Source organism: Homo sapiens, chromosome 7, assembly GCF_000001405.40.
Source record: "Homo sapiens chromosome 7, GRCh38.p14 Primary Assembly".
In the NCBI taxonomy this organism is placed as follows: domain Eukaryota; kingdom Metazoa; phylum Chordata; class Mammalia; order Primates; family Hominidae; genus Homo; species Homo sapiens.
In genome coordinates this window covers 144,353,835-144,380,792 of record NC_000007.14, presented here as the reverse complement: position 1 = coordinate 144,380,792, position 26,958 = coordinate 144,353,835, and the positions used below count along the sequence as shown (strand labels likewise).

The 26,958-nt window shown below is 48.4% G+C and overlaps 1 protein-coding gene and 1 long non-coding RNA gene across 3 annotated transcripts in view, besides 2 other annotated features; one reads left to right on the top strand and one right to left on the bottom strand.

Annotated features, from left to right (window-relative positions):
- Positions 1-160: 160 nt before the first annotated feature.
- On the bottom strand, positions 161-25,391 carry ARHGEF5 (Rho guanine nucleotide exchange factor 5). Of its 2 annotated transcripts, NM_005435.4 has the most exons (15): positions 25,292-25,391; positions 14,970-18,135; positions 14,381-14,438; positions 13,883-13,947; positions 13,438-13,691; positions 9,472-9,632; positions 8,764-8,916; positions 8,365-8,494; positions 8,036-8,110; positions 7,509-7,598; positions 5,904-6,061; positions 5,118-5,279; positions 3,603-3,673; positions 1,927-2,031; positions 161-894 (listed from the first exon to the last, which is right to left on the bottom strand). In NM_005435.4, exons 2-15 carry the CDS (start codon positions 18,121-18,123, stop codon positions 737-739), a joined length of 4,794 nt encoding a protein of 1,597 aa, NP_005426.2. In that variant the 5' UTR covers positions 18,124-18,135; positions 25,292-25,391; the 3' UTR covers positions 161-736. The 2 variants fall into 2 exon arrangements, with proteins under 2 accessions (NP_005426.2, XP_016868112.1); XM_017012623.3 differs by lacking the exons at positions 161-894; positions 1,927-2,031; positions 3,603-3,673; ... (4 more) ...; positions 8,365-8,494; positions 9,472-9,632 and having other exon boundaries at positions 8,801-8,916.
- Positions 1,247-2,446: an enhancer, noted in NCBI's record as "BRD4-independent group 4 enhancer chr7:144075440-144076639 (GRCh37/hg19 assembly coordinates)". NCBI's record gives its function as "activates an origin of replication core promoter dependent on BRD2, P300/CBP, MED14 and CDK7 cofactors, and independent of BRD4, by STARR-seq in HCT116 cells {active_cell/tissue: HCT116}" and the evidence as "EXISTENCE:reporter gene assay evidence [ECO:0000049][PMID:35650434]".
- Positions 14,611-15,179: an enhancer, noted in NCBI's record as "H3K27ac hESC enhancer chr7:144062707-144063275 (GRCh37/hg19 assembly coordinates)". NCBI's record gives its function as "activates a minimal SCP1, AML or CMV promoter by ChIP-STARR-seq in naive H9 embryonic stem cells {active_cell/tissue: H9 hESC(naive)}" and the evidence as "EXISTENCE:reporter gene assay evidence [ECO:0000049][PMID:30033119]".
- OR2A1-AS1 (OR2A1 antisense RNA 1) overlaps positions 25,075-26,958 on the top strand; it is a 117,146-nt gene continuing 115,262 nt past the window's right edge. The window contains exon 1 of the long non-coding RNA NR_126023.1: positions 25,075-25,455. This is a non-coding gene — a long non-coding RNA (OR2A1 antisense RNA 1). The remainder of the gene's footprint in view (positions 25,456-26,958) is intronic.

Genomic DNA, 26,958 nt, shown 5'->3' with positions numbered 1-26,958 from the left:
AAAATCTGTCCAAACTCTCAGGGGTCAGAAAGCAGGAGTCAGGAACTGCCATCACCTATGCACCACCTTAGACTTTTATGACACCTAAACCCAACAGGCAGGAACTCTCGGGATTCCATGTTTTGAACCTTTTTCAGTGCTGAGGAGTTTGAGAAGAAAATACTCGGAGAAGTGCCAAGTTTATTAGAGTGAGAGAGTATCACCCTCACATTGCCACCAACAGACATAGATCTCAGAGACACACTGACCTTGCACCATAATTATGGTGAATTTCTAGGTTAGAAGATACCTTAGAGGTCACCGGGCTGACCCTCCCATCTGATGTGTTAACCCCTCTTAAACATCTCCCTCCAGGAGACTGAGGTGAGATTCTGTTTAACATACGGCTATCACTGAAACTCTGGCCAGCTCTGAATCTGCACCCTGGAGGCGGAGAATGTTTAAGCACTATAAGGCAGTAGAAGGAAAGTTCCTTGGCTCAGGCCCCAATGGTCCCCCTTTTTTTAATGATGAAAGGTTCCCAGAGTCCAGTGCAAAGTCCCTCGAAATCCCCCCCACCAAGCACAAAGCACGAAAGGAGGCCTGGGCCGAGGGACTGGGTTAGCTGGATTTTGTCCTTGAGCTTTGAGAAGGCCTAGTTCTCCATCCACAGAAGGCCTCTCTTGCAGGGTTCTGGGGCCAGCCCTTGCCATGAGCAGCTTGTTCTTCAGCTCACGAAACTCCTCTCAGAGAAGACTTAGGCTTGCTGTTCCACCAGCTGTAGTTTGGCAGTCTTGACTCGATGAGCTTCCTTCAGGTTCTGTGCACGGACCTCTGGGTTGGAAATGAACTCCACCTGCTGCACAGGAAACCAGCCTCGCTCCCCGTCTGAGAGCCTCACGCCCTCCAGCCAGCCTGTGGGCACAGGGTGAGTGGGAAGAATTACCTGGGAAAGGCTCACGATAGCTTCTCTGGATCACCTTCCTGGAGAGTTTTCTGAATCCTCAGGCTGAGTGAACTGGGGAGCCTCCAGCATAAACCCAGCCTCCAAGTGTCCTAACATGGCGGCCCTGGGTGTGGCCAAGTCTACAGCTGTCCATTCCTGAGCCTTCACCACTGTTATGGTTGCATCGTGTCCCTCCTAACATTTATGTTGATGTTCTAATCCTCTATACCTCAAAATGTGACCTTATGGGGAATGAGGTTGCCACAAATATAATTAATAAAGTTAAGATGATGTCATACTGGAGTAAGGTGGCCATTAATCCAGTATAACAGGTGTCTATATAAAGGAGGAAAACTTGGGCTGGGCGTGGTGGCTCACGCCTGTAATCCCAGCACTTTGGGAGGCCGAGGTGGGTGGACTGCTTGAGGTCAGGAGTTCAAGACCAGCCTGACCAATATGGTGAAACCCCATCTCTACTAAAAATACAAAAATTAGCCAGGTGTGGTGGCTCACGCAGCTACTTGGGAGACTGAGACAGGAGAATCACTTGAACCCAGGAGTTGGAAGTTGCAGTGAGCCAAGATTGCGCCACTGCACTCCAGCCTGGGCAACAGAGCAAGACTCTGTCTCAAAAATAATAATAATACATAAAATAAAAAAATAAAGGAGGAAAACTTGGACACAGACACAGGAAGGCAGCTAGCCACAGGAAGACAGAGGCAGAGATTGGAGGGATGCTGCCACAAGCCAAGGAACAGCTGGGGCTACCAGACTGGAAAAGGTACGGAAGGATCTTCCCTACAGGTTTCAAAAGACGCGTGGCTCTGCCCACACCTTGATTTGGGACTTCTTGCCTCCAGAACTGTGAGAGAATGCATTTCTGTTGCCATAAGCCACCCAGTCCATGGTACTTTGTCATGGCAGCTGCAGGAAGTGAACACACTCCCAGCACTGCCCTGCCTGCAGTGCCTGGCCTGCTGCTCACGCATGCTCCCGCTTACCGTCACTGCTCTGCTGAGTCACCATCACCACGTCGGCTTTCTCCAGTGCCAATTCATCATTCTCTCGGGGCTTGTAGGCTCGAAGGCACTGTACCTGGGGGGAGTCTTTGGAAGAGAAGAGTGTGAAGAGAGGTTAGGAGAGGCAGGGGATTGGAACACAGACAGGGACTTGGAGGGGGGTGGCGTGGGAGGACTTGAGATAGAGACAGATTTGGGCTGTTGAAAGTCACAGACAAAAGAGGAAATTTGAAAATGGTTAATAAAGAAATAGACATACCAGAAATGAAATGGACCAAAAATTCCACTTCTCCAGAGGAGACGGGTTGAGAAATACATGTGATCATCTCAAATACCTGAGATCCAGCTAATGACCCATCTTCCCTCTGAAACCGTCCCTGACTCTAGTCTTCAATGGGTTCTGAACTCTTTTAAGACTGCTTGTTCATGCCAAGGCATTTATCCCTTATTTAACTGCTACATGGACGTGTTTTGCCTCTCCAACTGGATTATAAAATCTGAGTCTGTGTCTTATTCTTCATTTTCTTCCCAGTACCAGATGTGGAACCAAGAAAGACTTAACTAGTGGTGTCCCAGGTTTGACCTAAGCCAGAGACTGAAAGCCCTGGAGCTTCAGTTTACTCATCTATCAGTGATCAAGATGGTTATTGATCAAGGTTGATCAGATGAATCTTGAGGACATTCAAGATTTCTCTATTTCTATGTTTTTGAGAACCAGGAGACATGTCCATAGATCTGAAGCTCAAGAAAACAAGCCTCAGAGAATGCTTCACCTATCAGTATTCCATCATATGTGGGTTTATGGCTCTTTTTTGTTACTACACTGCCTTGATTCTCTTGTAAAATAAATGGAATACTGCATTACTATTTGCTTTCTCAAGATCCTCCCCATCTGCCATTCACAAGGTCAAAATGAAGGAGGAAGAATGCTCCTGCCCTCCTCACCCACTGGGGAACTGAAGCCAGCAGATGGAGTGCACAGTGAGCAAGTTAACAGCGTTCAGTTACTACACGGCTCTCCTACTTCATTCCCAGGGTTCCTTGTAGTTGTTTGTTCTTTTCAGTCACTAAAGGTCCAGGGTTGAGGTCAGATTCTCTCTGGATTTAAATTAGGGAATCTTTGCTGGAGGACAACTGTGGGGCTGACATGAGAGGCATAAGAAGTCCAGTCTTGGTGTGAACACAGACACATACATAATGTGTGTGTGCCTGTGGCTCCCCATGGGCACCCAGAAGCCTGGGGTAGGTGACCTCAGGTCATCCTCTTAGGTGTGGTCAAGATAGATCTGGGGTGCTATCCTCCTGCACACCTTCTACCACCGTCAGGCTTTCTTCCCCTACCCCAACAAGACCTTCAAGCAGGTAAAATCTAGGCAAAATAATGTCAGCTTAGACTTAAGGGGACAAATATTTTTAAAAAGAGCAAACTATTGCCCAAGGAAGGGAATGTATGGGGAAGGGGGACTGCCATAGTGATGAGCAGTTTTAGGCGATATATTTCAGGTTTTTAAGCTCTAGAGGCCAATCTTCCACCCTGACATTTTACGGAATATCAATAAATGAAAGCCTAGAGTTCCCACCCAGCCCTTTAAACTCCTGTATCCAAAGGTGACATCTGACCCTGCTTTCTTTTCTCTCCCTCTTAGACCCTCACTCACTGTAACACTCCAGAAGGTCCAACTCCTCTCTTGGCATGGCCAAGGCTGAGATCCACCGAAGCTTTTCACTTCTGAGAAAACAAAGCAGGGTCATAGCATCAATTGTGGGGGTGTAGGAGGAGGGCCAAGGATGGGGATGGCAAAAGACTGTGGGAAGGACTTATCTAGTTCCATGACTTCTATCAAACACTATATAGGACTCTTTTTGGTTGGAAACATGACACAATCTTGAACTATATGTGAATGTGTCTTGTCACACTTTACTTTTCCTCTTCTCTTTCCAGAATTATCCTCCTAATGGCTTCTCATATCTTCCAAGTTGGGGCGTAATGTTCATTAGTCATAAAGTCTGGAGATTTTCTGTTTTGGAAATTGTGCTAAGCGAAGTGTTCATTTCAGTTTAGATTCCCTCCATCATTTGGCATGATTCTTGACACTCGCTTGCCTATCTCCCTTCAACTAACTATCTCAGAGATGATCATTGTTTCATAATAATAATTAGATCAGGGAGATATGTCTACTGTTTTATTTGTTGTTGTTGCACGGTGTAATCCAAGCTTAGGTTTGTAATCATCTGAAGGTTTCTGCATTCTGTTAGCCTCTGTGCCCAGTTGTGCCTAGGTAACTGGGAATGGACTATTACTGTTCCAGGCACAGTGCCCAAAGCACCAAACCAACAACATGCATCTGCACCTGATTATTTGACTTATGTGCTGTTTTGCACACAAACTCCGATACTAGTCCTTCTGTTCAATAAATGAGAACAGGTGTTATCGGTCCCACTCTGAAGTATCTTCCAAGGGACAAAACTGAAAAAGTGTCTACAACATAGGGATCCTCAAACACTTAGATACGTCAAACTTTTAAATGACTGTTCATATATCTTTTATAATAGCAATAACAGCTACAGGCTTTTACATGTTCATTATTGCAGGCACTGTGTTCCAGATTTTATAGGTACTATTAATACTCTCAAAAATGTATGTCTGTGTGAATGTATTTTATTTTATTATTATTGAAAACATGAGCAAATCAGCATTCTCAACACTATGGATTTCTGGTCAATAGAGGACTGGTTTGGAAGATGGGAGCACAGAAAGTAAAAGTCACCCAGCACTTGTCTTATTCACATCTGTGCCCACCAGCTGGGGCATAGAAGGGTTTCTGCCTCAGGCATGGAGGCATGTGCTCACAGATACCAGTATTCCAATTCCTTGCTCACTCCATACCAGTCCTTCTCCTTTCTGATACTACACAGACCTTGTCCCTCTTGAGTAAAGAGTATAAAATAGATGCTAAGCCTCGGTGGTGACTTTGTACCCTCTCCCACCCCAATCTCCTGCAAGTTATCCATTAGTTTTAGGAGTCTGAATTTCTCTATGGTGGTCCCCAGTCCAGAATGGGCTAAATGAGGCTGTGGCTGTCTTCTGGACACATTTTCTGCCTTGGTCTCACTTCTTTTCTCGGCTGCCCATCTTCCCCCACCCCCAGCTCCTCTGCCCAGCCCCATCTCACTGAGTCTCCGTGCGGAAGAGGAACTCGGCCTGGGCGCCCTGAGTGTTCTGCCGCAGAAAGAGTCGGAACAGGTTTTTGTGAGGTCCATGTAGCTTCATTTCACACTTTTCCCCCCGAATGGAGGAGAAGGGAGCATGGTCAAATACCAGGAATCGGCTACCCCTGCAAAATACAAATCTTTTCAACCTGATTCTAGAGTTTCCATACTTCACCTACCCTCATAACCTTGGGTTCGAAATCCCTACATCTACAGCCTGCAAATTCCCACAAAAACCATAAGATGGTCCTAACTTGCTCCCAAGATGGTAGCTCCAGGGTCCTCAGGGATTTGTCCTAGTCTGGCAAACCACACACCTAGTGCAGTGGATACATTACCACTTTAAAGAGGTGAAGAGATGGAATTTATATACATTTCCCAAGAACCTTAAGACCAGAGACTTAAGCTCTGGAATTAGCTAAGTATCTCTAGAATAGCAGGTTGAGGCCAGTCCAAAGAAGCCACAAATAGACTCATGTGAGAATGTGATAAGCTAATTTGCTACATTTTGCTCTGTGTCTATACCATATTACATGTCCTGCTATGTGGTCTCATGATACAGTTTGATGGGATCCCCTTTTTGCTTTGGGCTTGTTTTTCTCTTCTCTAGGCTATGACCTGGGCTCTATGGGTTAAGCCATTGAGAAGGGCTCTTCTAGGAACATGACCCTTCTCTCTCCCTTTCAGACCCCCCTCTTTCCTCATCCCCTTCCCCTCTTGTGCCCTGGCCTGCCACTCCAGTCACTGACTCTCGGGGCCGAGACAGCAGCAGACAGTCATTGAAGAGGTGCAGGTGGACTGGACGCGTGTTCAGCTTCCTTCGTAGCCCTGGGGAAGCACTGAACTCCAAGGCTGTCAGCTCCCCACTTTTCACCAGCCAGCGTGACTGAGAAATGAGCGGGAATATCTACAGGGCAGAGGAAGAGAGAGAAGGCAGTGTCACAGATGGGAGAAGCATGAGGTTTGCTCCCAGTCCCACCCTCCTCCCCATGCCACTTCCATGCAAGTTCCACTTGAACAAGCATCTCTTCCACATCTGCCTTCTGGCTCATAACCCATCACTTAGATTCTCTTTCTCTCTGAACCCTCTAACTACCACTGTCCACTGGTGTGTGGCTCCCATGGTTGTATGCTCAGGTAAATAGAAGATGCCTATGGTCCAACTCAGGATAGTGAGTGTGTGGGACAGCTCTGCCCTAGAAGCCTGAACTGAAGGAGGGATGGAAGAGTCCAATCAGGGTATGTGATGGAACAAGTCAGTGAACACTATATGTGTCTTAGAGGTTAAAATAAAATATTAGAGGCAGGTCTGGTATCAATTCCATTTTTTATACCAGAGATATGTGAGCAGCTGGAATCAAACATGGGGGTGAGAAGAACTAGGTGGGGCGTCTTGGAGCTGGAATTTGGTTAAAGATGAGGGTGTGGTCTATGCTTAGTATGTGAATAAGGGATTTTCCTTCTTTTTCAGGAGTGTAAAGATAGTATGTGTTCTAAGCACGAGCGTGGTGGCTCACGCCTATAATCCCAGCACTTTGGAAGGCAGAGGTGGGTGGATCACTTGAGGCTACGAGTTGGAGATCAGCTTGGCCAACATGGTGAAACCCCATCTCTACTAAAAATACTAAAATTAGCCAGACATGGTGGTGCAGACCTGGAATCCCAGCTACTCGGGAGGCCAAGGCATGAGAATCGCTTGAACCTGGGAGGTGGAGGTTGCAGTGAGCCAAGATCGCACCACTGCACTCTAGCCTGGGGCGACAGAGTGAGACTCTGTCAAAAAAAAAAAAAAGATAGTATCTGTTCTAAGTTGGAATTTGAATGTGGAATGTCTATTTTAGATTTGTATTTCAATGAGGGATGCTGGCTCTAAATTTGGATCCAATCTTATGTGGGTTTGATTAGACTAGAAAGAGATTTGATAAAGTAATAAATGAATCAAGCACCAAAACATTCTTTTATAAAGGCTCATCCTGAAAAGTTCTCTCTCATTTGCCCATTTCTCAAATGCACCCCCCTTGTCCTCAGGTAACCACTGTTCCTTTTTTTCTTGTTCTCCTTCCAGAGTTTCCTTATGCACACACAAGCAGACACCTGTATAGATTTGTATCCTCCCACTTTTATACCAAAGGTGATATAATATACACACAATTCTTTACCTTCATCATTTCACTTAGCAGTATGTCTTGGAGACCCAAGTAGGCCTCCCAGAAATAGGACAGAATAGAAGGTGGGCAGAAATGAGGGGAGGGGCTGGGGATAATGTGAGCAAGGTGGTTCCAGGTTAGGGGGTGATCTGCAGGACATGTTAAGGGAGTTCATGGGCAGGGATGGGGTGCATGGGACCGACTCACTTTGCACTCAAACTCAATCTTCTGGCTCAGGTAGATTAGTTCCTCTGTCCGTCGCATACTCTGGACATTGTTATTGCAGTCCCGGATCAGCTAGGGGTGCAGAGAGTGAGGAAAGGGGAAGGGCACTGTGTTAGAGGCTTTGACCTTTGAGTCCCTTGCAAGCAATCTGGAAATAGGTTATGACAGCCTCAGTCATTTTTCCCAGGCTGGAATTGGGCAGGCAGTATCAAGCACAAGTCCTAGGCAACTTTGTATGACTTGGCAGAACATTCCTGAACTGAGTAAAAGTGAGACTGAATGGGGGGGTGATGGTGGAGAGGGCACAGTCCCTTGATGTGGAGTGTGCTCGGCGTGGGAGAGGTGGCCGTGGGGTGTGTATGTTTGGAAGTTTGGCGGATGCAGGGAGGTGGCTGAGCTCTCCCAACAGGGTCCCACCTCCCATGCTCCCTGGAGTCATGGGCCTAGGTGGGAAAGACCTCTCTGAGAAGAACACACAGAGGGTCAGAGTGGAGGTGGTGGCTGCCTACCTGCTCCAGGGCGTGGTGTGCCTTCGTGGCCTCTGCCTCCTCCGAGGAGCCAGGCTGTGTTCTCTTCAGAATGTTCTATTGAACAGACAGTAGGCAGGAGTGAGATGGGAGGAAGAAATGGGAAACAGGAAGAAATGATTGGGGGCTGGTGAATGGAGAAGCCCAGGGACCACATTTTAGCAGCAAATATTTCCAAGCAAGCAGGCAGTGGGCAGCAGGGAGACAGGATGTGGACACCTGGCAGAAGAATGGTTGGTCCTTTGTTGTGGGTCTTCCTGAGGGCATCCCTTTGAGTTAAGGGGAGAGGATCAAGGTAGCATCTGCCCTACCTGGAGCAGCAGTTTGAGGCGGGTGATGCGTTGGAAGGGCAGAATCAGAAAGGACTTGAGGGAAAGGCGCTGGCAGACGGGGTCGCTCTCCAGCTTCTCCAAGACCTCCCGGAAATTGCTGTTGCTATTCCTGCACGGAGAGTGAGCCTTAGGGGAGGGGGGATATGGGGAGCAATGGGGGATGCAGTGAAGGTGCGGGGAAGGGAGGTCAGTGGAGTATCTGTGGGCTGGGAAAGAGCGGTGGGAGCTGATGTACAGGGCGCTCAGATGTGATGCTGGGGTAACCAATACAGAGGGCGGAATGGGGAAAGTGTGCTCTTGGGATAGCCCTCTGGGCTGGGGACTGGTGCATGGTCACCTCAGGGCCTACATGGGGATTAAATGGGGGATGAGTCTCACATCAGGCTCTGGAAGGTGCGTTCCTGATAGGTCTGGTTGGTGACATAAGGCAGGTAGACCCGGCGGAAGTCTGGGGCGTGGTTCAGGACTACGTCACATACTTGGAAGGAGAAGATATTGTTCTCAAAGTTCTCTTCCAGGTCTGAAAGGAACCTGTACAGGATTTAAACGAGTCTCATGAGACTTCTGGACCTCAGCTAAACAGCTGACTGGCCCCTGGTGTACACTGAGCTGGTGACTTCTTCACTCCATTAGCCAATAACTTCTATTGACTCTCTGCTCTGTGCTCCTTGCTATGCACTAGAATTCGCTCCAAAACTGTCCTGAGTTTGAGCCTGATTTAACACTTTTATTCTAATATTCCATTTCTCATTCTTCTTTTGACCCTGTTCAGGTTTTCTGATCTTTAGATGGTTTTTCCACCTCATCTCCAATGCAGTGCATGACCACAGTAATCCAAAACCTCAACCCAGGAAGCATTGCTCATTTACTTATCCATTAATGGATCTATCCACCCACAGACCCTCTCCTCTTCTTGCCATTCTTCTTCCTATAACCATCGGGAATCATGGAAGAAACTGAGGCCCAATTTCTTCCCATAACTGTGAAAATGAAAGGGTTTCTAAGAGGGGAAAAAAATAACGGAACATTTAAAGCCTAACAACAGTGAGGCTGAGTGAGTGGTATTTAGGAGAAGGGGAGTCTCACGTGGCGCTGACGTCTCGCACATCCTGTAAACGAGAGAAGAGCCATTGGTGCTCCTGGTTGGAAAGTGTGGCCCGGAGTGAAGTTGAAAGTTGGAAATGATCCACAGCTATGTTTAGACTGCGCAGGTAGGAGGCCTCTGACACAATCAGCTCAAATTTGACCTAGGAGGTTGGAGATGAGGAAGATTAATTAAGGATTTTATTTACCCCCTGGAATATGCCAGCCACTGTGTAATGTTTTGGGGATAGAGCAGTGAGCAAGATCCTTTTATGGTTCACAGTCACACCAGAACCTAAGTTGATCTGCGGGGAGGGGAAGAGCATTTGAGTAGGATTTAATCTAGGGTACAGGTACAGGCCTTCAAAGGTATAAAAGAAAAATATGCTTTCAAGAAATCTAAATAACAAAAACAAGAACAAAAAATGAGTAACAAAGTGAGATGGATATGTTAATTTGCTTCACTAGGGTAATTCTGTTACTATTTATATGTAGCCCATAACATCATGTTGTATATCTTTAATATACACAATGAAATTTATATTAAAAAAGCTAAATAGACTGGGTGCAGTGGCTCACGCCTGTAATCCCAACACTTTGGGAGGCTGAGGTGGGTGCATCACTTGAGTCTGGGAGTTCAGGACCAGGCTGGGCGACGTAGAGAGACCCTGTCTCTACAAAAAATACAAAAATTAGCCGGATGTGATGGCGTGCACATGTAGTCCCAGCTATTTGAGAGGCTGAGGCGGAAGGATTGCTTGTGCCTGGGAGGTGAGGTTGCAGTGATCCCAGATTGCACCACTGCACTTCAGCCTGGTGACAGAGTGAAACCCCATCTCAAAACAAACAAACAAACTAACTAAACTAAATAAATTGAGCATTTTTTGAACCAAGTGTACAGCAGTAGTGGCCAGAGATGAAGCTGCAGCAGTCGAGGAGGCCTGAAGGGTAATGTAAACAATGTAAAATTGTTTGGACTTAAGACAATGGGACAATGAAAACAGGCTTTACATAGGAGAATAACTTGACCACATTTGTTTTATATAAAGTTATTTTTTTTTATTTTTTGGAATTGAGATGGAGTCTTGCTCTGTCACCCAGGCTGGAGTGCAGTGGCACGATCTCAGCCCACTGCAACCTCCGCATCCCAGGTTCAAGCCATTTTCCTGCCTCAGCCTCCTGAGTAGCTGGGATGACAGGCATGCACCACCACGCCCAGCTAATTTTTGTATTTTTAGTAGAGACAGGGTTTCACCATACTGGCCAGGCTGTTCTCAAGCTCCTGACCTCAGTTGATCCACCCGCCTCGGCTTCCCAAAGTGCTGGGATTACAGGTGTGAGCCGCTGCGCCCAGCCTGTTTTTCATAAAGTTATTTCTAAGCAGAATGAGAAGAAAAGATGAAAAGAAGCAAAAGCCATCCATGTTAAGAAACTGTTGTAATAATTCCACATGAGAGATGAAGGTCTGAATAGCCATGGAGCTGAAGAGAAGTAGATTAATTTTATAATTATTTATGAGGTAGAATTGGAAGGGTTGGATTATTTGCTAGAAATGGGGCCTCAAAGAGAAGGAAGGTTCAAAGCTAATGTTTTGTACTCACAGCAAAAGCTTTTTGAGTCGGGCACCTGGGTGAATGATGGAGTCATTTACTGAGCCAGAGAACTTTGAAAAGGCATAGATTTAGGGGATGAAGGTGATGAGCTCAGTTTGAGGTTTGAGGACAGATGAGAAGCAGGAGACAGAAGCCGGATATCTGAGAACAAGATGGCGCGAGAAGCAGGAGACAGAAGCAGGATATCTGAGAACAAGATGGCGCAGCTGTGGTTTAATGCATGCCCAGCATGTGAGAACTTGTCTGGAGGTTCCAGCAGGGGGCGCTATGACTCATGACCGTGCCTCTAGCTGGGCTCCTCATGCTTTTCATCCAAGCATGTGGCCTCAAGAGAGATGCCTGGATAGAAAAGAGAAAGGAGACACACCCTGGTGATGACTTGGATGACCAATGACACAGCCAGATGACCCTCCCATACAACAACCCTGAACAGGGACACTGAAGGCTCATTTGCATCCTTGCTCTAACATTCACTACACGACTGACTTTGGGTGGCTCATTTAACCTCTCTGAATCTCACTTTTCGTGTCCTTTTATGTGGATATAGTGACCCCCATCTCACTGTGGAAGATGCAACAGTTGAAAGAAATGGAGCCTGTGAAAGCACTTTGTGAACCCCAGAGGTACTACTTTATAAAATGAATATGTGTGTTTAAGAGATAGAAATGTAAAGCCCTTTCTTCTCACAAACATGAGACCAGGGCTGGAATAGGAGTCCTGCTGGACTTCCCAGCATGCTGGAGTTGGTAAAAGAGAGCTAGAACTCGTGTCATCTCCCACTGTTTGGTCAACAAATATGGGGAAGATGAGTTATTTTCTAAATATCTTCTCTGTGCTTAAAAATTTGCAGCCACAACAGGGCTCTCAAGTCTGAACTTTGCAAAGTCTAAAAATGTATTCTCTCTCTGACTTGGTAAAAGCATTGTCTGTCCATAAGTCCTCCTGGCCCAAATTTTACTCCTCCCTGCCTCTGAAAGGCAGAGAGTACGGCACTAATATTTATCAAACTATACATCAAATATTACTGCTAAATTAGATATGCATTATTTCATTTAAACCATTCAGCAACCCTGAAAGGTAGGCATTATTATCCTCAATTTGCAAGTGAGGAAACTGAGATTTAGTGATGTTATAAGGCTGCCTAAGCTAGCAAATGGTGAAGTCATGTTTCAAACCTAGGTCTGGCTTACTTAAAATGAAAAGTCAACATTTTTTGAGAAATTACTATGTACCAGGCATTCATGTTTCTTGATCCTTGCAGTAACTGTTTGTATCTCAGTTTTACAAATGTCATTTGGCCAAAGGTAAATTGGAAATATTAAAGTGGGCTCTGGGGCTGGGCTCAGTGGCTCATGCCTGTAATTCCAGCACTTTGGGAGGCCGAGGCGGGAGTATTGCTTCAGCCCAGGAGCTCGAGACAACTGGGCAACATAGTGAGACACCATCTTTTCAAAAAATTAAAAAATTAGCTAGGCATAGTGGCACATACCTGTAGTCCTAGCTACTTGGGAGGCTGAGGCGGGAGGATTGCTCGAGCCCAGGAGGTTGAGGCTGCAGTGAACAATGATTGTACCACTGTACTCCAGCCTGAGTGACAGAGCAAGACCCTGTCTCTAATAAATTAATAATTTTAAAAAAAAGTGGTTTTCATATCCAGGTCATTTCTTCCAGAACCTAATTTCTTAAACATTATTCTATTCCATTGTTCCATACTGTCTTTCTGGGAAGAAAGGTTTTACCCCATATTTCAGACAAATTAATAAGAGGCGCTCTCCATGTAAAACTTACTAATGGTAATAGCTTAGAATCAGACAAACAGCCTCTAGTTCAGTCTTGCTGTTGGGAGTAACAATCAAGCAGGGACTGATGATCACTCTAAGGCCCCTGTTAGATTGATGGACCACAGGACAGCTGCAAAGGGCCCTCTTCAAGGGACCCAACAAAGAGCCCCGGAATGTGCCTTGGCTAAAGAGGAAAACTGTAGTGTAGCCTGAAACCCTGGTTGAACAGGGAAGCTTTCCTCTACCCTGAAACAGCAGTGATGATGGGATTAACTCCACATTCCTCCACACAAATTCAGAGGCAATGGCCACCATGTATAGCCCAGACCAACATCAGGTAGGAGCAAGTGGCCTATGGCATGAGGAGGTGAGGATGAAAGGGGAGGTGGTGAAATCCAGAAAACAATTCAACTTCTTCAGAATGGACATGACCCACAGCTGTGGCATGTACACGCGCCTGTGTGGTGGGGACAGCCGACTCTTGGTGGCAGTGGTGAGCAGGAGAGAAGGATGCTAGCAAACAAGACCTTGTCATCTTTTCTGTAGCCCCCTCCCCACCGTGGCCTGCCCAGTACCTCTTGCAGCTTTTGGTCTTCATGGGTCATGGAGAGCAGCACGGTGCTGTTGCGCACCACGGGGATTTCCTGCCAGAGGGAGCCGCTGGAGGCCATGGAGAGCCGCTGCAGGTACGACTCGGAGGAGACCAGGGCCTTCCGAGGCTGCCGCGGAGAGCTAGGCCCGGGTGTCTCGGACAGGCTCTCCAGCCGCTGCTGGCTCTGGATCTCCTTATTCAGGACAACATCACTATACTCCTGGTAAAGCAGCTGGGCTGCAGGGCAAAGAAGCATGGGAAGGAAGAGAAGCAGGAAGAAGGGACGGTGAGCGGAGGCAGGGAAACAGATCTTCTGCAATGCCTTCTCGCTAGGGACATCCCCACCCCACTGCTGACATCCACAAGCCCCTCTCCAGTGCTGGGCAGAATGCCCACCTGGTTCTATAGTTCCACTTCAAGGTACTCACAGGAGTTGATGAGTTTGGAGCAGCGTCTTGAAAAGCCTCCCATCACCTCCTTTGGTTTTTTCTCCCTGTGGAGTAAAGAAGGGCTCTGGGGTACCTACTGGCCATTAGACACAGAGCACCCCAGGTGACTGTGGGGGACAAAGTCTCTAGCCTCTGGGATGTGTGCTGGGATGTCAAGACCAAATCCCCCGGAGAGGCACAGAGTTGCAACTTGACCCACTTGGGCTAACATGGAGCTTTTGTGGGGTTTAGTTCACAGCCATAGGGCTTGGGAAGATGGATGACTCGTAGGCTCGGCTGACCGAATGAGGTAGATAAAGACAATCTCCCTAAGCTGGCATCCCGGCATCTCTCTCTTCTCCTCCTTACACCAAGAAGAAACAGGAATGAGCCATTCGGGGTCTCAGAACCCTTATCAACTGAAATCCTCACTAGGGGACTCTCAGTATCCCAAGTGAAGAGAGTACAGTGTGGCTGTTAGGGGAGAGGGTGACTTACCGAAAAACAACAGTGTCTGAGGGTCCCGGATGTTTCTCCACGGCTGGACCTCTTGAATCTAAAAGTGGAAATGGGGAAGATAACTGAGATTTCAGAGGGATAGAGAGAGCCAAAGAAGATCTAGAGCAGGAGATGCAGGGGTCCAGAAGGGAAAATGGGCTTTATTGGGAAACTGGGAGGGAAGAAAGTGGCAAAGCAGAGAGCGTGAAAGAGATCAGTACCAGTGACGTCCCGAGCCACGGGTCAGGATGGGACTGGGACAAGTACAGAAGGCCTTTTCTACTCCCCAGGAGGAGAGCAAGCAGGGACTGTAACTGAAGAGTAGAAGGGAGTCCAAAATAACCTTGGGACATCCAAAGAAGGTGCTGGTTGAGGGAGAGACAGGGAGATAGAGGGGAAGAAGAAGGAAGAGCATCCCAAGGAGCTTGGAGGGCACTTCGGGGCTCTCTCTGTGTTGAGGTTAGGCACACATGTGAGCGAAGCCAGCAGAGAGAATGTTAGGAACCCTAGGGACAGAAGATGGGATGAGGTGGGAAGAGCTGGGAAAAGCTTGGTCTGATGTGTCACTGTGGTCCCGGTTCTTGCTCACCTGAAGAGCCCTCAGGCAAGATGGAAGGTCTGCGCAGGCCCTGCCGGCTCCAGCCCTTGTGCTTGTTGGCCCCCTCACTAGGAGCCACAGCCTGTCCACTGCTGTCCCCTGGTGGCCTCCCTGAGTCCCGCCTGTGGGGCCAGCTGGACGCCTTCTCCAGGTGCAGATGGCTGGGTTTTTCTGGCTGCCTTGCTTGGCCCACAGGTGACCTCCCTGGGCCACTGGCTCCTTGCTGAGGGGTTGTCCTTCTCAAAGGTTCTCTCGCAGGGGCCTCAGGGTGTTCTGAGACCCCTGCTTCATCCTTAGAGGTGGGTCCCTGGAGCTCCGGAGTCCAGGGAGTGGTAGGGGAAGAGGGGCATAGGAAGTTTGTCATGTTGCTGAAAGCCATGCCAGGGGACACTTCGCTCTTACTCCTGCTGGTGGAAGTGAAAGACTCTGTTGATCTAGCTGTGGCCGGGGGCCAGGAGGTGCGTCCAGCAGAGGCAGGGAGGGGGACTGTCCAGTCTTGACAAGCAGGTCTTGTTTTGGCATGACCCCCTGAGTTCATATGTCCTCCCCGAGTGCTCCTGCTCCTCCCCCTGGACTTTGGGGGCAATGGGGGTGGTTCGGTGGGAGGGTCTATGATGGGTAGTGGGGGTAGAGGCCTGTAGATCCTTGAGCTACCAGGAGCAGAAATGGGAGGAAGGTGGGGCTGCGGCAAATCAGGGGTAGGGGGTAGCGGCTTGTTGTATCTCCACCTGGGGGTGGCCTGAGCATGGTGGGAGCTGTCTGGGGTAGATGGCAGAGGTCGGTGCTGCCTGGCCACAGCGGGGTCAGAGGCTTGGGGAAGTGGGCCTTTATGGGGGGCATGCAGCCCTGAACCTAGGGCCAATGGAGGAGGGTGGCTATGCTGCTTCAGCGTGGGAACCACTACACGAGCATGGCCATCTGTCTCCACCACGGAGGGATGGGTGTCCCTCCTCTGTGGGGGAGGAGGGGGCAGAGGTTCGTGGATCCTCACATCCTCCATGGAGACAAAGGATGGGGAAGAACCGTAGGCGGGAGACTCTGTGGCAAAGGCTGGATTATGTGGGGAGACCCAGGGCTGGATGCTGGGAGGACTGCTGGGTCTCTCTAGATTTGAGATGGATTCTTGAGAGTCCTGCTTCAGCGTGGATAAGGCAGTAGGGGATGCTGAAACGGTGCTGTAGTCCCTACCACTCCTTCTGTCCCTTCTTGGGGTCACAGAGCTGTAGATGGCAGGTTTGGGGGGCCTCTGGGGCAGCTCTGAGTGGGAGTAGGAAAGCAACATTCCCACCAGGTCTGGAGTCTGCTCTGTCCTGTGAGAACCAGGGAAGGAGTCACTCCGTAAGTGCTGGACGGTGCCTGTGGAGTTGGCTGGGGGCCTCGGAGGGCTGGTCCCGGTGGAGGGGAAGCCATAGAGGGCAGCCGGGCACATCTCAGAAGTCCCACAGGGAGATGGGTCATCCATTGAGAGAGGGGCACTGGCAGTTTCTGGAGCACGTGCAGCACAAGAGGTTTCCCTCCTGGGAAAGGCAACTGGGGGCCTGGCAGATACCGAGGCAGGTGTGATGGGGTAGGCTTCAGCAGGACTGGGAGGAGCTGAATCTGGTGTCCTTGGAGGAGTCACAGATGCACTGGCAAAGACCACCTCAGTCCCTTGGCTGGACACTGTTCCCTTCCTCAGCCTGGATTCCTCTTGCTGGCTGTTTTGATCTATTTCCTTGTCAGGTGACTCCTCAGTCAAAAAGGAGCCCAGTAGAGAAATGGGCTGGTGAGAGCACCTGATGGGCTCTAGCGAGGGAGACAGAGCTGCGGGGGACAGTTCCTCAGCCCTGGACTCTGTCTGAGTCCCGGGAATCTGAGTCATGAGATATGAGGCACCTGGAAACAGGTCACAGTGAGGAGAGTCCTCAGGGGCTATCAGAGCGGGCATTGAAGGCCCATGATGCTCATTCTCCTCTTCCCTGCTCCTCGCTCTTCCCACTGCCCCCAGCCTGCCCCCATCCCAACTCTCTGGCTCTTTCGCCTCCTGCCCGCTGACTGGCACCCCTTTCTCCTTTATACCATGATCTTCTTGCTTTCCAGTTACTTCCTCTGATTTTCCCAAAAAGGTTTGACTCTTTTCGTCCTGAGAGTCCGCCCTATTCTCTTCTGGCACCTGCAGCTCCCTCTTCCTCTCTTCTCCCTGTTCTGGACCTCCCTGACCCTGAGCCTTCCTCTCCATATCCTCCTGCTCCCACTCACCGTCATTCAGACCCTCTGGCTCCCCAGTGAGCCCCATTCTTTCTCCTTGTCTCCCAAGCATCACATCTTGTACCTGTTCCTGTTTTTGCTTCTGTTCTCCCTTTTCATCATTAACCTGCTCTATCATCTGTTCCTCCCCTAATAGCCCATCGGCACAAACATCCTCCCTCAGAGTTCCTTCCCCCCGAAATCCTGCTTCCTGCTGTCCCTGCTCCTCCAGAACTTGGACCTCCTGGGGATGCAAGAGCCCTTGACTTTCCTGCAGCTCCTCAGGTGGCAGCTCTTCCCCCTGCCTGATAGTCCCACTTTCAGAGCCTTCATTCTGGTTGGTCTCTGCAGGATGCTCTTCGCAGGGAGAATAATATCTGGTCTGACCAGAGTTATCTGAAGAGGTTTCCTCTTCTTCTTCTGCCTGTCCAGATCCCAATGTCAAAGAAGTAAGTCCTGGCCAAAATTCCACCTCCTCTTCTTCGCTTCCCAGGTCACTGGAAAATGGGGCCATGTCTAGATGCTCACTCTGAATGGGGCAGGCCCAGAGCTCTGGGGGAGCTAGAGTCCTTGCTTGTCGGCCTGCTAGGCTCTGGGGTACTGCCTCCCAGTGTTCCGGAGTGTCACAGGCCTCAGCCACAAGGCTTTCCTGATTGGGCTCCACATCTGCAGAACCTTCCTTGGGAAAAGAGGGCATCGTCTCAATCGCATAGTCACACACATCCCTTAACTCACTCTGCTGAGTTGCTGAGAGTCTGTGTTCCTCTCTCCACTTATAGGATGGGTCCTCATCTTCTTGAGCTTCAAGCCCCAAGGCAGAGACCTGGCTGCTCCTCATGGGAGCCTCAGGGATAATGCTGAATTCCTCTATGGCAGAGATGGGAGGAGAGGCTCCACGCTGGGCCTCCTCAGCCTCCATCAGGGCTGAATCCTAAGGAGGAATCAAAGACAAATGTTTCTAACAACTCTGCTTTTACCTATCAGAGGAAGAGACCATAAAAAAGAAGAGTGATGCATTTATTTGGTTCCATTTAGGGTCATTCTTTGAGACAACAGGTTCTCAACAAAATAAGCAATAGCCTCTAAAAAACTTGTCATTGATGTATTTATTTCATAAATATTTTCCTAGCGACCCTGTTAAGTGTGGGGCATTCAGTAGTGAATGAGATAAAGATCTTGTCGTCATGGAGACTGTGGTCTTGTGAGGGAAACAGGTCATAATGAACAATTAAATTATAGCAGAGGACCATTGTCAGAGAGTGCCCAGAAGCTCCCAGTTGTCAGTTCTCTCTAGACTCCATTATGTCATCTTCTGTCTCTCCCTGTCTACTCTTCGGACACTAGGAGTGACTCATCCTCATATAACCCCCAGACACAGCAAGGGACACACCTCAGATCTATTAGGCCAGAGAAGCAGTGTCAGGAGAGGGTCTTCCTCTTAAGCTGTGGACATCAGTTAAAATAGGCCAGGCTATGATAGCCAATGTGTGAGGTGCTATGGTTTCATCTTCTTTACAGAGGGTTTGGAGTTTACTCATCTTTCTGTTTTCCATAGTGTCTACTACAGCATTGTAACTAACAGTTTTGTTTCCAATTCTAGAGGCAGCTGTTGTAAAGTGGGATGATAACAGCCTTATTGGATTAGTGTTGAACTAGACACATTACCACCTTGAAGGAAGACCACAGAAGGGTGCTTTCTGCATCACCTTACTCTCCCCTTGGCCTCAGTATCCATATGAACTCTTCTCATTAATTCTTTTGACCTTCCTGTCTTTTGATTTCGACCTTCCTGCCTTTCTTCTCACTTCCAGCAGAACACCTCATCTCCTATTTTGCAAAGAAAATAGAAACTGATGGAACTGGGTTTCTCTCACCTCAATTTCTTGCGATCCAAAGCAACCTGTATTTCCACTCTTTCTATCTTCCGCCCTCAGTCAGGAAAAGACGTATCCCTCCTTTCCATGCTCTGTCATTTCTTGCCTGCTTCCCCAGGAACACTGTGCACTCATACCTTCAACATCCCTGCTGAACAACCCCTGGGGTATGGAAGCATTCCCACATTCTTCTCATCTTTCAAATGACTAGAAGGAGTTGCTCTTATCTGCTGTCTTCATACTCTCACATCCCACCTGCCTCCAACTGAGCTTTGATAGCGGCATTCTGCCAATATTCCCTACAATCGACATGTTGTTAATTCCAAAGAAGACCTTATGGATCTTCATTTTGGGTGGTTCTTGTCAGTATTTGACAGTACTGAGGTTAGAAATACTCTCTTGTTACTTGTGGTATTACATTTTCCTGGTTTTACCCCTTCAGTTTCCTCCAGTCTTTTTTTTTTTTTCTTTTCTTTTTTTTTTTTTTTGAGATGGAGTCTTGCTCTGTCACCCAGGCTGGAGTGCCGTGGTGCAATCTTGGGTCATTGCAACCTCCATCTCCGGGTTCAAGCCATTCTCCTGCCTCAGCCTCCCGAGTAGCTGGGACTATAGGTGTGTGCCACCACACCCAGCTAATTTTTGTACTTTTAGTAGAGACGGGGTTTCACCATTCTGGCCAGGATGGTCTCAATCTCCTGACCTCGTTATCCACCCGCCTCGGCCTCCCGAAGTGTTGTGATTATAGGCGTAAGCCACCACACCTGGCCTCCCCTGATCTTTTAACTAGGTTAAATTGTACCCCTCTTTGTAGCACTTACCAACTATAATTCTCTTTACTTTTCCTTTGTAGCATTTATACAATTATAATTATATAATGATGTGTGTATTTTGAGTTACCCTCTATTGCAACCAATAGATAGTAAAATTTATGAGATTAAGAACTATGACTTGCTGAATTATCCATACTTAGCCTAATAGTGGCCTATACTCAGTGTTTAATAAATATTTTTCACATAAAGAATAAAATTCAGGTCAGAATAAAATGTGATCCTTTTACTTCAATGGAATATGCCCACCTTTTCCTAAAATCATGATTAACAGTTTACACAGAACTTTAAACATTTAGAGCTCTATACACAACAAATTAATTTTTCTTATTTTTCATTCTGAAACACTAAGGTTTTCCTGCATACATGTCATTAAAAATAATGAAATGCTTCTTTAAATATGTATGTGCCATACATCTAAGAGTCATCGTATAAGATGGGTACCATTATTCTGCCCATTTTACAGATGAAAAACTGAGTTTCCCAATGCACTTTATGTATATAATCCTGACACTCTGGGAGGCTGAGGCAGGTTGATTGCTTGAATCTAGGAGTTTGAGACCAGCCTGGACAACCTGGTGAAACCCTGTCTCCACAAAAAATACAAAAATTAGTGGAGCATGGTGGCACGTGCCTGTAGTTCCAGCTACTCGGGAGGCTGAGGCAGGAGAGGGATCCTGGGAGGATCCCTTGAGCCCAGGAGGCAGAGGCTGCAGTGAGCCAAGATCACATCACTGCTCTCCAGCCTAGGTGACAGAGTGAGACTCTGTCTCTAAATAAATAAATTAATTAATTAAAATAAAATAAAATTCTTGTTTCCCTCCTGGCCCAGATTCCCCATATCTAATCAATCACCATGTGCTATTGACCTCGTCTGCTAAATATCCCTTAAGACTGTCCACTTCTATCCCATCCCTCTCCACTGGTGCATGCTGCTACCGTCTCGCCCGGGCCACTGCACCCGGCCACAGCTTGGGCACTGGCCTCCACCCATTTCACGCTATTCCAGTCCTTTCTCCATACAGCACCTAAGTGAGCTTCAAAAGCACCAGTTCTAGCTTAGATTCTTCAGCAGCCTCTGAATGCTCTTGAGATGAAATCTAAATCTTCAGCATGGGTTATACTCCCTGCACAACCTGGCTCTGCCTTCTTCTCTAGCAGCCTATTCACCTGTCACCATCTGTCCCTGCCCCCATCCCCCCCCTCTCCCACTGGCTTTCAGTGTCTTTAGCTCACTTCTCTCTGTGTCTCTCACCTGTAGGCCTTTGTAGACACTGCTCCTCTGCCTGGAATCCTCTTTTGCAACAGAGAATCCTTTGCTTCTCCTCAAACACACCTTGCACTTGTCATGTCATATTTAATGTCTATTTTCCAGGCTAGATTATGAGCACCATGAAGGGACAAACACTGCCATATAACCCCCTCTGCCTGAAGCCTAGTTGGCCCTCAACAAAGATGTATCGTATGAATGAATGACGGAAGAATATAGAGTTAGAAGAGTGTGGATCAGTGTTTGGTTGTGCCTCTCTGGTATCTTTGCTGGTTTTAAGACAATTGTAGAAACCATTAAATTTATTTGAACATCCATTTTCTTATCTTTAAAAAGGAGATAAAAGGATTCCTTCACAGTTCTAGTAAAGATTAAATAAGGTAACATAAAAATGTACACTGCTATCTTTAAGGGTCATAGAAATGGTGGCTGTGGTAAATACTGTTGACCTGAGAGACAGAGAATAAGTGTAAGAGAGAAACACAGGATTCATAAAGCCGGAAGGACCTTCAGAGACACACAGAAACTGCTCAATTTACAGATGAAGAAACTAAAGGTCAAAGACCCTAGACCCTTGCTCAAATCTCCTAAGCAAATGGTATGGGCAAACCTGAAGCAAAGTCGCTTGACTTAAGTCTCCTGTAAGCACTTAGAGGTCCTACTGAAAGAAAGCTGGCAGGCCATCAGTCCAGAGAAGACCCCAGAATTCTATGGACCCAATGCTGCACCTGACCGTGCACCTTTCTTGTCTGGTCCAGGCTTAAACTGAAAACTCACCTGCTCAGAATACTGTCCTGCTTAGCCACTGTGTGTGTACACACACACACACACACACACACACACACACACACACACACACTGAGCCATCCTTACAAACTCTTGCAATAGAGCCTGACATAACCAAACAGGCAGGTCCCTAGCACACTGCAGAGTAGTATGTGACAAGATTCTGGCCATCCCAGAGACAGAGATACCATCTATATGGGGCAAAGAGATATGTCTGACATAATTGTACACAGGCAGAAGGACTTTTATGTCCTTTTCCAGTTAACTGACACCATATGCGATTGGCTCCCTATGTCTAGCCCTTAAGTACAAAATACTATAATCCCTATGGGTGATTCTGTGATGTGGCCCTGTTCTCTCAACCACACATCGAATAATATACTTGCTTACTTTAAGACACTTTCTGAAACTTGGCCTAAGGAGACCATGGGACTAAACCTGTAGTCTCTCCTCACTTACATCTGCATGGTTCAGGCCCTCTCCTCCATATACACCATCACGTCTTCAAAACAAGTAGCCTCTAAATAAAAGTGTGTTTCTGCCATATCTAGGGTATATCTATAAATACCATGTGCTACCTGGACATTTTCTGTTCCAATCTAGTGGCACAGTGCATGCCTGCCTCTGCAAGCCCATTGACACCGTTTCTAACTGTCTTTTTTCATTTGGAAATATCAGTGGTCACCTGCTCAGCCACCAGTTACCGCAAAGGGAGAACATACCCCACGTTCCCTATACTTGATCCTATCTCAGTGATCCCGTTGCAATCAGGCATGACAAAGCTAAAATGTGACAAAGTGAAAGGAAATCTGTAAATCATGGTCTTACTCACGTAAAGGCATCAGGAGAGAGTTTTTTGCAATGCTCATTACGTTAGAGTGCAAACATCCTCATCTCCTTCTCCACTGAGGGTGAATAATCACTGTTTATCTGTGTACAGGCAAAGCCAGGGCATGGGATTATGGGGATACGGCCTTGCTTCAGACCACAGACATTCTGCATCCACATAACCTCACCCACGTGTGACTTCTTGAGAGGCAAAGCTTCAAGTCATCCCTTTAACATAATGTGTGACAGAGCTCACTATCTTCCCTAGAGCCCCCCCCAACACCTTAGCTCTTGTCTATTTCTAGTCACTAGAAACAACACTGTATTTCAAGGATACAACCCCTCCCCAATCAAACTGCCAAATCTTTGAACTGAGACTCAGTGCCATATATATATTTTTGAGGACCATGCTTCCTGGATTTTCTAGCAAGGTTGATTTCAAATATTCTGACTTACAAATCACTAAAATAATATTGAGGTTAAAATAAGATCACCACATAGATATATAACTTTATTCACTGTTTGACATCACTGCCCTCAATACTACAAAGATATCAAAACAGGGGTAGCTTTCTGGACCACTGACTACTACAGTGTGTGTTCTATCCATTGCAGGAAAGTCCCACCATGCCAGTGAAAGCTGTAATACACATTTATCTATTCTCTAATGTCTGAAAATGTCACACCAACTGCCTTATAGACCAGATAGTTTATATAAGAACATTATTAGTGTCAATGCTGACTTACACTCTACAATCTCATCTGTGGTCCTGGTGGCATACACACAGATAACATTAGTGTGAGTGACGTGTTTGTGTATTAACACAGACCTTGAGGGTGACTTTGTTCCAGTCTACCTTGCAGGCACTATAAGTGATCGGCTCCTGCTTACTCCACAGACACTGTGAGTGACCCAGCCCCTGTCTACACTAGAGCTGTTGGTCACCTGTTTGTCTACACCACTGACACTTGAGTAATGCTGCTCCCGTTGAACCCAAGACCCTACGAGTGACTCCATTCCTGTCCATACCACATAGCGACTGACCTCTCCAGACACCACAAATGACGTATTCCTGTCTATCCCACAGACACCACGTGTAACGTGGCCACGGAACCTCAGACAGACCGCGTTAAGGGCACTGATACACTCTCAGGACCTCTAATATATGAACACTCTTCTCTCTATTGAGAATCACTATATTCTGTTGATGAGAGGGATTCCTTTGCACTCCTCCTGATTTCTCTCTCCTCCCCACTAGGACCATGACATACATTCCTCCTGCATATCAGTCTCACCCAGAACTGACACGCCCTCATCCCATCTTCCCAGCTCCCCAGGACTCCTTCACTAGCCATGGCTTCACTTTTAGGCCCACAGATTGGTTAACAAATGACACCCATTTTGCTAAGGCCTATGCCAGGAACTTCTTCATGCTCCAAATGTGGATAAAACAAGACGTCTGAGACAGAGGCCACATCAAGAGCTTTTTAGCTGGAGCTGGGACCTCTGGATTAGGCCCAAGATGCAAGGCCAGACAGTGGAGTGCAGTAGGGGAGCAAGCTAGGGAGGAAGCTCGAAAGGAAAACCACCCTCTCTCATCTGTTTGACACACCCTTCTCTCTCAACCAGACAAGAGTCCTGGCCAGAGTTCACTTCTAGGTAGACAGGAGGGCAAATCTGTCTTTGGAACCCAAGATCCAGGAAGGGAAGAAAGGGACTGAGATCTGGAAATGACGTAGTATCACAACTGGCTCTCCTCCGGTAGTCTTGCCGGAAGGCAACTGCAAAAGATGCTCAGGGGTTCTAGAGCTCTGCGTCCGCATTCTAGCACCCCAACGCCTACCTCAGCCCCCAACTCTAAATAACTTCTTTCCACCTTGCTAAGAATGCAACGTTGTGATTCACATCAAGCTTTAGGAGGCTCCCCATATGTAGGGAACTGGGGTGAGGGGCAGGGCAGGATTCACTGTTCCAGGTTACGGAGCTTTGGTTAACACGGAGAGAAGCTACACATAGACTCACACAGTATGCAAATACCTATGGAGATACATAAGGAAAGGCCCCGGCCTGGTTAAGGAAAAGGAGCCGATAAAACCTCTCCAGGTAAGGAACAGCCTAGAAAGGGAATCTCAGTTATTCCTTCTGATATGGCTTAGCTTTCCCCAGGGCGCCTACTTTGAAGAAAGAGCCCTGATTATTGGCCCGGGGAACGTCTGGGGGCAGGGTGCCCATTTCCTAGGCGGGACCCGACCGGAAGCAAACTTGTAGGCAACAACATTTCCTCTAGTTCCTCTCCTCTTCCCCACCAGGGTCCTCAGCCACACACCCCGAGCCCTGCCTGCGGGCCCAGCCCCCCCATTTCCGGAGCCTGCGCCCCGGACCCAGCGGGGGCTGATCCCTGGGAAAGGCCTGGCTTCCTCTTCCTTCCTGTCCCTGCCCCACCTCCGCCGGGCTCCACAGCCGCCGGGAGCCCAGGGCCGAGACGGGAGGAGGGCACCCACCTGGTCGGTGTCACATGCTGCTTCGGCCCCAGCGTCCCCTCCAGGTCCCGGCGCCGGCCGCAGTCCCCAGAGCCGTCCCCAGCGCAGGCCCGGCCGCCCCACCCGCGGCCCGCCCCTGGCCGCCCGACGGGAGGGAGGGATCGGGTTCTCCTAGGAAGTTTCAGGTGAGGAAACAGGGACACACCTTCCCGGAGGAGGGGCAGGGCCCCTCCGCGCGCGAGCCCCATTGGTGTGAAAGAAGCTCCCGCGTCAGAGCTGGGAAGTGCCGGGCCGGCGGGGAGGGGAGCCCGGGCGCACGGGCCAGGCCGCGGGCTGTCCCAGGGAGCCCCGAGGGCGCGGTGCGCGGGCGCAGGTCGGGCGCAGGCGGGGTGACCCGGGGAAGGGGCGCGCACAGAGACAGAGGGAGCCAGCCGGGCCCCACGGTGTCCTCGGACGCCTCCGAAATCTCCCTGCGTGTTTGTTTCTTCGGAGCTTCACCGGAGCCTGACTCTGGAACCGGCCTGTCTGCCTGCTGCAGTCTGTATGTGTTTGTCTTTTGCCTTGGCCGTGCCTCTGGAAGTCTGACATCCGTGGTTGTACATGTGTCTTTATCTTCAGGCCTCATTGGTTTTTGGTTTGTTCGTTGTTGTTGTTGTTGTTGTTGATGTTGTTGTTGTTGTTGTTGTTGTTGTTGTTTCTGAGACGGAGTCTCGCCCTGTTGCCCAGGCTGGAGTGCAATGGCGCGATCTCGGCTCACTGCAACCTCCGTCTCCGGGTTCAAGAGATTCTCCTGCCTCAGCCTCCCGAGTAGCTGGGATTACAGGTCCGCGCCACCATGCCCGGCTAATTTTTGTATTTTTTAGTAGAGGCCGGGTTTCGCCATGTTGGCCAGGCTGGTCTGGAAACTCCTGACCTCAGGTGATGCACCCGCCTCGGCCTCCCAAAGTGCTGGGATTACAGGCGTGAGCCACCGCGCCCGGCCAAGGCCTCAGTGTTGATTTCTCTTCCGTGATGTCTCCTCCTATAGAATAAAGAGTGTCTCCTCCATCTCCTCCTCCGCCCCCTTCTTCGTTTCTCTCTCTCTCTCCCTCCCTCCTCCCCCCTCCCTGTCCCTCTCCCTGCCTCTTCCTCTCCCCTCTTCCTTCTCCTACTTAGGGCCTAGAAGTGTGCCTCTCTGAAAGGACATGCCCGTGTCCTTCTGTATTCCCGAGTTTATTTTAGAATGAGTGCGTATCTCAGGGTGTATGTTCCTTCTAGGGCCTGTGTGTGTGTGTGTGTGTGTGTGTGTGTGTGTGTATTTAAATCTCTAAGCCCATGTTTGTGTGTTTTCTTATGCCTGTATTTTTTTTTTTATTCTTTCAGGGAAACGTTGTGTTCTGTTAGTCTTGGAGGCCAAGGCTGAGTGGGTTTATCTCTGTGCCCCTCCAGTGACTTCAAAGAATGCCAAAAGTCTCTCGAGTGTGCCTGTGTGCACACACAGACACACACAAAGTAGGAATCCTTTACCTGGGGGACAGAGATTTCTGTTATTTTTGGTTGAATCTGACCACTCCCCAAAGCCATTCACTACTCCAGGGGTTTCCATGGTGACATAAGTCAAGTGAAATATTAATGGACTCCTTGCCTATTTTGCTCTTAGGAATGCCATGGTCTACAGCCCAAACAGCTTGGCTAGACCATTTCCAGAT

Coding starts and splice junctions, on each gene's coding strand:
- ARHGEF5 (NM_005435.4), bottom strand. CDS start 18,123: ATGGAGGCTGAGGAGGCCCAGCGTGGAGCCTCTCCTCCCATCTCTGCC. Junction 13,948..14,380: donor TCAGACACTGTTGTTTTTCG/GTAAGTCACCCT, acceptor TTTACTCCACAG/GGAGAAAAAACCAAAGGAGG. Junction 3,674..5,117: donor CTCTTCCGCACGGAGACTCA/GTGAGATGGGGC, acceptor TTGTTTTCTCAG/AAGTGAAAAGCTTCGGTGGA.